At 40.9% G+C, this 14,203-nt stretch overlaps 1 protein-coding gene and 1 long non-coding RNA gene across 17 annotated transcripts in view; one reads left to right on the top strand and one right to left on the bottom strand.

Annotated features, from left to right (window-relative positions):
* PHACTR1 (phosphatase and actin regulator 1) overlaps positions 1 to 14,203 on the bottom strand; it is a 571,071-nt gene that overhangs the window by 314,972 nt on the left and 241,896 nt on the right. The gene's annotated exons all lie outside the window — the stretch shown is intronic.
* LOC124901262 (uncharacterized) lies at positions 9,088 to 14,056 on the top strand. The gene is made up of 2 exons (XR_007059459.1): positions 9,088 to 9,175; positions 9,953 to 14,056. It is a non-coding gene; the product is annotated as an uncharacterized LOC124901262 (long non-coding RNA).

Genomic DNA, 14,203 nt, shown 5'->3' with positions numbered 1-14,203 from the left:
CAGCCTGATCAATACGGTGAAACCCCGTCTCTACTGAAAATACAAAAATTAGCCAGTGTGGTGGCGTGTGCCTGTAGTCTCAGCAACTTGGGAGGCTGAGACAGGAGAATCGCTTGAACCCAGGAGGTGGAGGTTGCAGTGAGCCGAGATTGCACCACTGCACTCCAGCCTGAGTGACAGAGTGAGACTCTGTCTCAAAAAAAAAAAAAAAGAAAGAAAGAAAGAAAGAAAGAAAGGAGTTAGAGTGACACCAGTGCAAGGAAAGGGCCATGAGTCACGGAATGCCGGCAGGCCAGAGAAGCTGAAAAAGACACAGAAATGGATTCTCTTCTAGAGCCTCCAGGATGATCCAGCTATGCCTATACCTTGACTTAATTCCAGTGAGATTGATTTTGGTCTTCTGACCTCCAGAACTGTGAATAAATCTAGTGTTGCTTTAGGCCACTAAATTTGTGGTAATTTATTATAACAGCAACAGAAAACTAACACAAGGGGTATGTGTAGGAATTAATGCTGGGCAATCTACCAAACAGTTCAACCTCATGCTATGCACGTGAATTCACCCAATTTCAAGGCGGCAGAGTGGAGTAGAAAGAGCAAAGCTTTAGATGAGACATCCCCTGAGTTCCAATCCTGGTTCTGCCACTTCCCGTCTGGTCTGCGTGCCTCTGGGCTATTTACCTCTCTGAGTCCTAATTACCTCACAGGTAAAGCAGTAGTTGTTTATACTATATCACATCCAATAGAATCACAAACCTACTGCAATGGCAACAAACCATCCAGATATAGTAAAAGGTATCGGTAGGTTGTTGTGAAGTTTAAATGAAATAATTTGCGTAACGAGTCTCTACACAGTGTTTCTTATACAGTAGGTGCTCAACAGAAGTCAGTTCTCTTCCTCTCACCCCAACCTTACATAGCAGGGGCTGTGTATAATACCCCAGGGAGCTTTCTAAAATGTAAAGGCTTGTATCTGCATCATTAATACCTTCCTGCCTCAACTGGGATAACAACAAAACTCCTTAGCAGGGTTTGTGAAATGCTTTTTGTATTTTAACAGCTTATTAAGACATAATTTACATATCATAAAATTCACCTGTATGTGATTCACAATAATTTCATGGGTATTTTTTAGCATATTTGCAAAATTGTATTATGCATAGTGCAGAATTGCCATCACTACAGTCTAATTTTAGAACAGTTCCATCATCCTAAAAAGGAATAGAGTGGTGATTTACCACCATTCTTTATTCCCATCCTACCCCTCAGTAACTACTCATCCATGTTCTGTCCCTGTGGATTTGTCTTTTTGGACATTTCGTATACATGGACTCATACAATATGCAGACTTTTGTCCTGGGTCATATTTACCTTTCCAGGCTTACCTTACCAATTTCCCATCCCTCAGTGATAGGACAGCAAAACTGTAATTACTTTTAGTCGTTTGAGTTTTCACAGTTCCCACCCTTCTGCCTTCAGCCCTATCTATGTGCATGTGCCTTTGCCTGGAACAACCTTTGCATCCTTCAGGTATCAAAGAAGACAGCTAAGTATGATGTGCAAAGAGCCCAAGAAAGATGGTGCAAAGAGGCCAAGAAAGAAAGACTAACCCTACGGCTAGTGTTGGGTGAAGATGGAATCAGAGAAGAAACAAACAAGAGGGACCCTGATTTGTTTCTTCCAGCCCTAGCTGGTTTGTGCTGCTCAGCCCTGGGACATGAGTGGGTTACATTAACTCAAAGGGCCAGGTCAGAGCACGCAAGGTCTCAAAACAGGGTATTGCAATGAATAACAGGAAACACTTCATGACTATCCTGGCCATGTCTATTCTATTAATGATCATTCTACTACTTATCACTACTACCCAGTTTCAGCTTATGGAGAAAATGGTTAAGAAGACATTGGCAATGATGATTGTTTTTGGTCAGCCTTTGGTTCATGCACATGAGCTACCCACGGCATAAAATGGGAAATGTTTATATGGCATCAACATCTTTCATTCTAATTTTTAATTAATTGTAATGTTTAATTAGAGCCTGTCATCATAATACTGCTGGCAAAAAAGATGGGGTAAATAAAAATGGCTTTTTGTTTGTTTGCTTGTTTGTTTGAGACAGAGTCTTGCTCTGTTGCCCAGGCTGGAGTGCAGTGGTGAGATTTCGGCTCACTGCCACCTCTGCTGCCCGCGTTCAAACGATGCTCGTGCCTCAGCCTTCTGAGTAGCTGGGACTACAGGCACACACCACCACGCCTGGCTAATTTTTGTATTTTTAGTAGACACAGGGTTTCATGTTGGCCAGGATGATCTCGATCTCCTGACCTTCTGCCTCGGCCTCACAACGTGCTGGGATTACAGGCGTGAGCCACTACGCCGGGCCAAGAATGGCTTTTTGGTGGATTAGATTTAAATTCTAAAATACTGCTGTGCACTGAAGTCTTCTCCCTTTGGGTTTAATATTTAAATAAGTTGATATGTTTATTAGCTAAATTGGGTCTGCATCCATCTGCCAGAATAAACAGGGACACATTCTTTTCTATGTTGCCATAGTTTTATTATCAGAAATTAGGAGTGGCCTTAAAAATAACTGCTCCTGTTGGCTAATTATTGTGAGGAAGAGAAGTTTAGTCTCAATTAAGCTAAACTGACATAATTGTCTTTGGCAGGCATTCTCTAATGTTTAAGTCCACAGTATTTAATTACCCCAACCACAGACAGCACATTCAGCTTCTTAGAGGTGCACTTTGCAGGTGACTCATCCAAGAAGATCCATCAGGACGCAGTTAAAAGCAGAATCAGATGTTCGCAGAAGCAATACTACATTTATTTTATGCTAGAGACAAGTGGATTGTAACATTTGTTCTCAACATTTGTGGTTTTTGTTTTGTTTTTTGTTTTTTGTTTTAAGATGGAGTCTCACTCTATCACCCAGGCTGGAGTGCAGTGGCATGATCTCGGCTCACTGCAACCTCCACCTCCTGGGTTCAAGCAATTCTCCTGCCTCAGCCTCCTGAGTAGCTGGGATTATAGGCGCGTGCCACCATGCCCAGCTAATTTTTTGTATTTTTAGTAGAGATGGGGTTTCACCATGTTGGCCAGGCTGGTCTCCAATTCCTGACCTCAAGTGATCCGCCTGTATTGGCCTCCCCACGTGCTGGGATTACAGGCGTGAGCCACTGCACCTGTCCTGTTCTTAACATTTTTAAGATAATATTTTCTCCTGATATTTTTTTGGTGCAAGATTCTGAGTTCTCAATTATGTGTCTAAGTATTTAAGCATATATTTTTGGTAGAGCTGGGGTTTCACCACATTGCCTGGGCTGGTCTCAAACTCCTGGACTCGAGTGATCCTCCTACCTTGGCCTCCTGAAATGCTGGGATTACAAGCATGAGTCACCATATCAGGCCTAGGAATACCCTCGGCAGGGGTGAAAATACAAGACAGGTTGCTAGATTTTCATAGCTGAATGTCAACTCTGTAGTTAGTGTATTTGGAATCTAAAGCATTTGGCTCTTTCTTTTATCAGGAACACAGAAATAGCCACTTAAGGCTTTTACTAGAGAAGTCAAGTATGAATTCCCTGCAATCCAATACTCAGCGACTCAGATAAGATATCTGATTTTAAGAGAGGCAGACTAAAAATATTAGCTCAATTTCTCCAGGTCAGAGCTTCTCAGTGCTAGCTATACATTAGGATTGCTTGAGGTACTTTAAAAATACCTATGCCCAAGTCCCACCCAGAATATCTGAGTTAGAATTTTTAAAAGGCTGTCGAGGGTCATGAACCACTCTTCTAGAACCTTGTTTCTCCAAGTGTGGTGCATGGACTAGCAGCATTACCATCACCTGGGAGGTTGTTAGAAATGTAATATCTTGAGCCCCACTTCAGACCTGCTGAGTCAGAATCTGTGGATTAACAGAATCCCCGGGAGATTCTAATGCATTTGAAAGTTTGATAACCACTTTCTTTCTTTCTTTCTTTTTTAAAAGAAGATTCTATACATTTTTACTATCAGATCATCAAAAAGCAGCACAGCAGCAGAACTCCCTGGTGAAATGCCTTCATTGAACTCTAGTTTCATGATTTGCCTGGGGATCAGTGGAGTCCATTTGTGTCAATTATACAATTCTCATCAAATCATCAAAGACATTTTCCTACTATATATCCAATATCCCTTGAACAAGAATCCACACAACAAAAGTCCTTTCGCATTTTAGTGACAAAAAAAGCTCACATCACCAGATGAATTTAGTTACTCCTTAATTCAGACAGAAAGTAGAATGATGTTTTCAAGGGGCTGAGGGGAGGGTGAATGAAAAGTTATTGTTTAACGGGCAAATGTTTCACTCTTGCAAATGAAGAGTTCTGGAGAGGCACGGATGGTGGTGATGGTTGCACAATACTGTGAATGTACTTTATGCCACAAGCCTGAAGACCTAAATATAGTCACGATGCTAAATTTCATGTTATGCATATTTTGCCATGAAAAAAAATTAAAGAAACTCAGGAAGAAAGAGAATTTTGCTTTTCCTTTTCCTGGAGTCAATAGCTCCTTTGAAGCTGCTGTTTTCCAAGCTCATTTGTGAAATTCTACCTTAGGCTTTTAACGGCTACAATGCCAACATGATTTCAGTAGAGAAGTTATCTCTGAACCATCATTTAGCAAATGGAATGTGGGGGGAAGCGGGCATGCGATTCCATGAAGGGCAATGAGTTTGAGTGGAAATCATGGAAGCCCGTGATCACCCTTCCCTTGGGTTCTTTTCCCTGAAAGAGTTCTATAATTCTGGTGAGTGGAGAGGGCACATAACACAGACTCCCCGAAGGAATTATAAAGCCAGCTCTGCCATGTTGGAAATCTCGGTATCCAGGGCTTCTGCCCCGACAACCAAATCCAGAGCCTCTGCTCAGGCGTCTGTTAGCTCTTGGCAAAACGGAACTTCCTGTTTTCAAGATAGTGTTTTCAAATGGCTCATAAAAGCTTTCTTGGACAAAACTAGTCCTTGCAAAACAATATTTTGATGATTAAACTATACATGAATCAGAAACATATGGAGTGAATTTCCCTTGGGTTTGGCAAAGCACACTTTGGACTTGATTCCGTCCAGGATACTTGAAAGATGGTTGCAAGTGTTTGTGGAATCAAATGCGGCTTCACTTTTCCCAGTTCCATTTCTAGGGAATGGAAGTTTAAGAAGAGATCAAAGATTTCTTAGGTTTCTTTGTCATAGCCTTTGTTTCTACACTACCAGATCTCTACACACATGCAGGATTTACTCACCTAAGAGTTACAGTTGACTGAGTATATAGCACAGTTGCCAGCAACATTGCTTTTCTCTCTCTCCCTGGTTTCAGTGTAGTTCAGCAGGTTTCTTCTTTAATTTATAAATGAAGGGTTTCAGATTTGGGTTATTTCAAAGAATAGAGACTCCCTTGTAGGAGAACTCTTTTCCACTTACCTACAAAGATTCAAGCTTACTTTTCTTCTTGCAACCCTCAGCATTTGAACTCTGTGGGCAGAGTTGTTTTAATGGAGTGCCACAGCTCTGGAGAGAGCACCTTCCATGTGGTCAGAAAGAATGCTCACCTCCTTGGACATCTTGGAGGGCCATTTGAGAAACAAGGAAGGAGCCCAATATTCTGATAAGAGTTTTATGTATTGTCCACATTTTTTAATATATGAAGATGAAACATTTGCTGTATTTGGAAACACTTTTATCCATAAGAACAGTACTAAAAGGGCTGTGGGAACAGCCCTTAATACTTAAGTATTGAGGATTTTTTAATTTTGTAATATCTCAGGAACATGGGCAAATAATTCTCAGCAATACAAATTTGGGAAACATAAAGAGAGACTTCAGGTCTTTAAAAAGGTTCAGAGATAATTCATATCAGAGATGAAATGTAAAATGAGGACCATATCTTTTTATTCCAGCTTATCCAAATCTAGTGGAAAAATAGCATAAGCATGCTTCTCCTCTGTTCACGAGCACATCTGTAAGTCACCTGTAGCTCCATTAATGTGAAATGCAAGAGTCACTTCTCAGTAATATATATTATATTCTAGGAAACACTGAAATTTCACATATTTTTACTAAACAGCACAATATAACATAACACAAATAAAATGTCCAATTTTTTCAGCTACCAAATCATTTTAACCACCCTTTTGCAATATCAACAAAACAAAACAAGAAAACCTAAAGGCCAGAAGAGAAGAACAACCTTCCTGTGGGAGAAAAGAATTTGAACAAAAACATGAAGGTAGAAAAATATGTGGTGTAAGGAGAATGTTGGAAAAAGTAAAAATAAAAACAAGAAACTAGAGAACAAGGTCAGGTATCATTAACATTAGTGCTTCTCTTCCTCCAAGATCTGAAACTCCAAAATGTCTCACTGTGATCACAACCAGCCAGGGTCCCCTTGCCTGGGTTTGCATTCCCTGTTCTGTGCTTTATCAGCAGGATGTCCAGGGACAAGTTACTTTACTTCTTTGAGCCTCACTGTCCTCATCTGTAACATGGGTATAATAGTCCCTCTTTCTCTCTTATAGGGTCGTGAGGATTCAATGACATCATTTAGCAAGAGTCTCTCAGCAGCATTTAGAACACAGTGAGTGCTCAGGAAGTAACAGCTGGCCCGTCTGCCCCCAGCCTGAGTCCTTACTTGCTGCTGGAGCTGCTTCCTACCCTCCCTGCAACCTTGACTCTCAGGCCCTCCAGACTCAACCTTCCATCACCTTCACCTGACTTCAGGGTCCTCCTGCACCCCTTCCTCCTCGTAGCCCTCCACTTGTGCAGTCAGTGGTCAAAGCCTATTGATTCTACTCCCTCAATCATTTATACTTTGCCTCCTCTCTTCCATTCCTTGCCACCGCCATGTCCGGGCCCTTTAATGTCTTTAGAAATGTGTGCCATTTATGACATTCCAGTCTGAGTTCATGCTAGCTGTGCAGCTTCCGACAAGTTTCTTATTTCTCCAAGCCTCAGTTTACTTTTCTGTGGGAAGGAAATAACTAACAGAGTCTCACTATTTATGGCAGTTTTGTCTCATAAAGTCACTGTGAACACTGAAGTAGTGAATACTGAAACATTGTTACTGGAGGAAATGCAAGGTGACGTCTCCGTGAGCACGTTTTCTTCAGCCCACCTGTACGTACCTTTGGTTTTCTGTTTGTTTCTGTTGAACCATGCCGGATTTAACACATACCGTTGATTCATCAACATTGAAGCCACACGGCCAACAGCACTATCACTCATGCCTGAGCCACGCTCACTGTATGTTCTCCATAAAGCTCGTCACAGCTTCCCTGAAGTTAGAAGCACTGCATCGCACTTCAGCATGACGCTTGGGGCCATTCTAAACAGCAAAACCACCAACAAAAAGCACCAAAATGCAAAAAAAAAAAAAAAAAGGCACAAAATAGACTGTGAAAAAGACACATCAACAGGATGAGAGCTCAAACAGGGAGGCAGAGCCTCACTTTGTTCCATCTCAGCTCAAATTTTCGCTGCTCTGCACATGTCTGTGAATGGCTGTGAAAACGCCACAAGGACTGATTTTTGGGGTTACAAATACATTCTAGTGAGTAGGCAAATTTTGCAAAAGCAGACTCCAAGAAAAATGAGGATTGACTGTACAGCCAGCCCTCTGTTCAATCCATGGGGGGGTTCAAAATGTGAGGAAAAAATAAAAAATCACAATACAGCAGTAAAAATAACACAAATGTAATAAACAATACAGTATAACAACTATTTACATAGCATTTACATTCTATTAGGTATTATACGTAAGCTAGAGATGATTTAAACTGTGTGTGAGGATGTACATAGATTATATGCAAATACTACGGACACTATTTTCTATCAGGAACTTGAGCATGGCGGGGGTAGTGGGACTGCGGGACAGAGTGGAGGTGTCCAGGAACCTGCACTGTGGTTCCCTATGGATATCAAGGAAAGACTGTGTTTGTACCTAAACAGATCTTGGAAAAATGAGGAACAGCTGTATTTGTACCTACCATGCAGGCTTGCTGTGCAGATTAAAGGACATAATCTAAGAAGTAACTGCTAGGCAATTAACAAGTGAGAGCTATTATTATTATTTATTATCATTATTATTTATTACCATTATGTTCTCCACTGCTGCAGTTGCATTTGTAACTGATGGTGCCCCCATCAACTTCCATTCACTCCACCTAACACATAGATTAAACTCTGACCATGTCACTTCTGGGCTTGGTATTCAAATTCTTTTCAATGCATCTACCATCGGTCCCTTTCTCTCTACCCTCTCGTTCAACAAAACTGGCCTGGCCACCATGCCTCATGTACACTCCAGGCGTGCCTTCCCCTGTGAATTGGCATTCCACTTACTTTCCTTCCTTTGCTGAAAATGTCTCCTGCCTCCCTCTTTCTGTTCCCCATTCTCCTGTATTAAAATATACCTATTCAGCTCTCAAGACTCTTAGGTTAAAAACATCTCTAAAGCCTTTTCTAGCCAGAATTAATATCTCCCTCTTATCATCCTCAATAATCTTTTTTTTCTGTTCTCATGGAAGCTGTCATTTTCTATATTTTGTTAAAATTTTATGTACATGTTTTATTTCCCTGAATAGGTATGAGTAGCTTTGATTCCTTTTCTCATATACTGCGGAACTCTTTGCACAATACCTTGTCTTTAGAACAGTAGATAATAAATGCTTACTGATTAAATACAATAACAAAAATACTCACAAGGTAGTTGGCTTTGCTTTACTGAAAAAGACATGATATTTATAAAAACACATTTTTTTTTACTTGAGAAATTCTACATATGAACAAACCAACTTTAAATTAAAAAGAGAGTTCGTAATTTATACTAAAGCCAAAGGGAGCCAATATTAACTAGTTTTCTTAAAGTCTGGTGACTTGTTTCTGAACGTTTGTCCTAAACATTTTCAGCCTCCAGGCCCTTTTTTGGGCAAGTTATGAACCTTGAAATCAGAGCTAAATAATACAGGTGCCAACATACTCTGAATTACATCACAGGGTCTTTCAACAGCCTCATTCTAATAACAACAAGAGCACTTCACACTTGGCGAGTTCACTGCATCCAAATAGCTTGAAGCTTGGGCAAACTAATTTTGTACACTAACCTGTTGCTTCTCTGCCTCTGAAATGGAGCCTGGTAGAGGGTAAGTCTGTCTACTCATGATTGAGTATGTTCCTGTTTGTGAGAATCAGGAGGTGGGAATCAAAACGCCCGGATCATAACTCCCAGGGAACAAATCCTTCTTGGGCACTGGAGGCATACTGTATTTTTAATGAAGAAAGACATGGCAGGGTGTTTTACAAGTTACTAAATGTGTGCTCCTTTGTTCCTCCTAATATATTTTTTTCACCATCGTCAGTTGGTTTGTTTTTTTTTTTTAAAGAAAATCAAAGTACATGTCTTGCCTGAATGATTTCCCCCTTTATGTTGCATTTTCCTGTTTGAATGGAGGATCCAGGCTGCTACCAGGGAACTGGTCTATGCCTTACCAAAGTGTGCAAATGGTCCCGGTAACGGTGCAGCTGTGGAGGGGAAGAGGAAGCAGTGAGCAGGCTCACCCTCATCTGTGGGCGCCTGCAAATCACCTGCTCTACTCTTGTTATTACTTTTTCGTCCATGCCTTTTCAAGTCTGTTAATTTGGAAGAAGCGTCAGTTCCTCTGCACTTCCCATATTTGTGAGAATACCTCAGCTATGAGCTGGACTTCCTGTCTCTTTCTCTGAATTCTGAGATCCAACATTTAGAAAGGAAGTGACTTGTAAATACCCCTTGCAAATCCTCTTCCTCTCTACTGACCAATTCTGTTTCAAAAATATATAAATCAATGTGTATGTGTGTGTGTGTGCATGCATGTGCTGAGGTGTGTGTATTTCAAGTAACCATATCCTTGAATATCACTGTTCATGCTGAATGGAGACAGGGAGAGCTGGGGACTGACTGAAGAAATGGAGAAGGCCATGCTTGATTCTGCAGAACATGGCAGGAACCTGGATGACAGGATCAATCTTCCTGTAAGTGATGAAACAGTGAAAGGAAGTGGGAAATTATCCAGAGACATGCCGTAATCCTTTTGACCTCAAAGGAACATCTAATTCAAAACTATGTTAAATCCATTCTCCAAGAACAGCTGTCACCACAGAGCTGCAAAACTTGTTAGGTACAATCTACCAGTGCTTTGACAGAATGCCCAGGTGGAAGTCAATAAAACAAGGTCCTCCCTTTCCCTTGAGATTAATATACTCTAGAGAGTCAAGCTTCTCTGGAAGCTTGGCCCAGGTCTACCAGGCTGCCTTTCCTGGAGTCTCCTCACAGCAGTTTGGTGATACCATTTTCTTCTAAGGCTGTACCATGTTCCCTAATGGATCTGATCAATTCCTAAAACAAGAAGAATGCATTTTTAATGAGTTTTCTTCATTAACTTGATAGCTGTTGGGGGCCAAATTGTGCTCCCTCCTAAATTCATATGTTGAGGCCCTGACCCCTAGTATGTGACCTCAGAATGTGACTCTATTTGGAGAAAGGGCCTTGAAAGAGATGATTAAGGTTAAATGGGGTCATAAGGGTGAGGGATAATCCAATATGACTGGTGTCTTTATAGAAGAGATTAGGGCCAGGCACAGTGGCTCAACCCAGCATTTTGGGAGGCCAAGGAGTGAGATCACTTGAGCCCAGGAGTATGAGACCAGCCTGGATAACGTAGCGAGACTCTGTCACTACAAAAAATTAAAAAATAAAGAAATTAGCTAAGGTGGTGTCATACCCCTGTGGTCCCAGCTACACAGAAGGCTGAGGTGGGAGGTTCACTTGAGCCCAGGAGATCAAGGCTGCAGAGAGCTGAGATCACACCACTGCACCCAAACCCGGGTGACAGAGACAGATCCTGACTCAAAACCAAAAACAAAAACAACAAAAAAAGAGAAGGAGACTAAGGCACAGACACCCACAGACTAAGGGACAACTATGTGGGAGGATGAGGTGAGAACGTGGCCATCTACAAGCCAAGGAGCAAGACCTCAGGAAAAATCAACCTTACCAGTACCTCAGTCTTGGACCTCCAGCCTCCAAAACTGTGAGAAAATAAATTTCTATTGTTTAAGCTACCCAGTAGTATTTTGTTATGGCAGCCTTAGCCAACCAATACATCAGCTATGGACTATCCAAGGTGATTTTCTTCATTACTATCTATAAGAAAATCCTGGTTTTCAGTAACACACATATTCCTTCTTTGGGAGGTCAATTTCTTTAATCCCAAATAGTTATCAACACAAGTTTGTACTTTAGGTTCTTGTCTTCCTTTCAGTTTGGACACAGGATATCATATGTTGCTCTTCAATAACCTGACAGTAGGGTAGGAATTATTTTTACTATTTTCTAAGTGAAGAAACTGACTCAATGGCATGATTTACCCAGGGCACATGAATTTATAACCAAGTCTTTCAATACCGCTTTCCCTGCTGCTTCTCCAACATTCCACTCCTTCTTCTTTTTCCCTAGCATTAGAATATACCCAAGTTTGGGTGTTTTTCCATCTCAATTGTTTTTGAAACTTGTTTCTCATCTTTCTGTATTCTGTTGGATTACTTTTTTTTGTTTCTCTTAATTTTAGACATTTGTGTTATCTTTGTCATGGATTTCTTAGAAGACACCCTACACTATTTTTCACTCTGCCTTCTTTAGGACAAGTTCCAGGAGAGATTTTTTTATCCAGTTAGTTTCCTAAGAAGCTCAACCTATACCTAGAGAACCTTTTAGGAAACCCTTTCCCTGCAACTGTGGATCCTGAACTTTGTAGGAAGCTGAATACTCATGGAATGCCAAACTTAAGGGCCTTTGGCATCTTTACCCTTTAGAGTAATTATGCTACTGTCTTTGGACTTTACAGTATACGATCAGGAGTTTGCTTTATGAGAGGCATTAAATCCCCATGTTAGGAGACTGCAAAAAGAAAATACAAACACAGTCATTAAGGGGCCATTTAAGGGTAGTAGATTCTGTGTTGTCCCTAGTGGAGGCTTGGAATTGTATAGTCATGGATCACTATAGCCCATCTGCGGGAATTTTCCAAGTCGGGTAAAAGCCTACAGGATCCCTGAGCCCATCAGATTCAGGATGAGAAAAGGGCAGAATCACAACTTATAGCATGGCTGAGGCAGGAAAAATCAAACCCACTACATCCATTAGAAGGTGTTTGGGGCTGTCCGGAGACAAGGGCTACTTTGTCCTTGTTGGACCCTCCCTGGTGTGGGGTCGCTGTGACCCAGTGGTAGAGTGCAGGGAGTCTGGGGACAAATGTTGTTTATCTGGTGCTGCCACTGATGCCCTCTGTGGCTTAAACCAGTTCAATTGACCCTTCTGTCCAAAACACGCAGACACTCGTGCCTTCTCATCTAGAGAAATACAAGTGTTATTGAATTAATTCCAAAATATTTGTAGGAGCACAAATGTGAGCTAAAGTTTCACACATATTCTTTACTCACTGGCACATTCAAGGGAAAAAGTGACCTGGTGTTTCAAGTACTTTGTGGTCACTAGACACCATAAATGATAACAACAATAATAGCAAGTACTTTTTCAGGCACTAAGTGTGCCAGGCACAGCACTACGCGATGTTCTATATAATTTACTTCCCATACAGCCTGTGAGGTAAAGCAATGTTACTCTCCAATTTTATGGATGAGGAAACTGAGCCTTAGAAAGATCAACAAACTTTCTCAATGTCACTCACTGAAAAGGTAGCAGAATTGGAATGCAAACCTCAGTCAACCGAACTAAAAAAAACTGAAGCTTTTAATCAAAGCACCTTGATTTCCATAAAGACTGAATTTTCAAAATCTGTCCTATTTCACCAGTTGTCCCATAAATGTTGGACTATCCCAGAAATGAACAAAACCTGGCATCCAAACTGCATTTCTCAGACTGTTTCTCACACTGAAAGCAACATAAAAGTCCTCTGTAAGATCACAAGTCCTGGTCCTTGATATAGAAAATGTGGGCACCATGATCTATGCAGAGGAGCAAATTTTAGAGAATTAGAGTGGAAGGCAATGCACTCAAAACCAAAACTATTTTGAGCATCTTGTTATCTTCTGTGATTTGGGAGGCACTAAAGAGCCTTGTAGTACCTGGAGGTCATCCTCATGAATCTCAGTCCTCATGATATTATTGAAGTGTAGAAAGGTAGGTTTCCAGCAAGTTTCAACAGATGGAAATCCAGATAAAAGGAACTCACTCTGCTGATATTAATTATTTAAGCAGTGTTTTCTCGAGGGACTGCCATGGCCTTAAAAAGGGGCTCTATGAGCTGTTCTTTTATATTATGAATATTTGTAATACTATAGCATCTACATTTCAAGTGTGGGCTTTAGTGAAAAACTTTGTTATGCTTTTTTAGCTTTGTTGTTTAGTTTTGTTTGTTGAGCATCAGAAGAGATGGGAGTGATAGGGCCACAGTAGAGAAAAGACTAAAAATTCATGATCCACAGTCTTTTTGCTTCCCAAATATGGACCATGGTTTTGAAGATTTAAGAACCACAGATTTAAGATCATTTTTTAATTCCGATATACAAATATCCTCTTAAAAGATAATTGTACCACTTTAAAGAGTTGTTTCTGTTTTCTTTTCTTTTTTTTTTCTTTTCTTTTTTTTTTTTTTTTTTTGAGATAAAGTCTCACTCTATCACCCAGGCAAGAGGGCAGTGGTGAGATCTGGGCTCACTGCAGCCTCCGCCTCCTGGGTTCAAGCTATTCTCATGCCACAGGCTCCCCAGTAGCTGGGACTACAGGTGTGTGCCACCACACCCAGCTAATTTTTGTATTTTTAGTAGAGACAGGGTTTCACCATGTTGGCCAGGCTGGTCTTGAACTCCTGACCTCAAGTGATCCACCTGCCTTGGTCTCCCACAGTGCTGGGATTATAGGCGTGAGCCACCGTGCCCGACCCCTCTTTAAAGAGTTGTTTCTATCAGATACATTCAACTCATATAATTTGCCCAAACTGAGAGAAGGGCAGAAAAAGAAGGAAAGGCAGTGAAAACTTGAATGCCTCTTTGTAGATATTATTCTAAGGACACTTTCCTTTTGGTTCTAACATCACCATATTTTGTTTAGAGCAGCTCATGGGGCCAAACAATAAAAAAGAAATAACAATTAGAAATGAACTCTTTCAAACTAA

This window comes from Homo sapiens, chromosome 6 (assembly GCF_000001405.40).
Source record: "Homo sapiens chromosome 6, GRCh38.p14 Primary Assembly".
NCBI lineage: Eukaryota > Metazoa > Chordata > Mammalia > Primates > Hominidae > Homo > Homo sapiens.
Note: the sequence above shows the minus strand (reverse complement) of the source record. Positions and strands in the feature narration are given on the sequence as shown.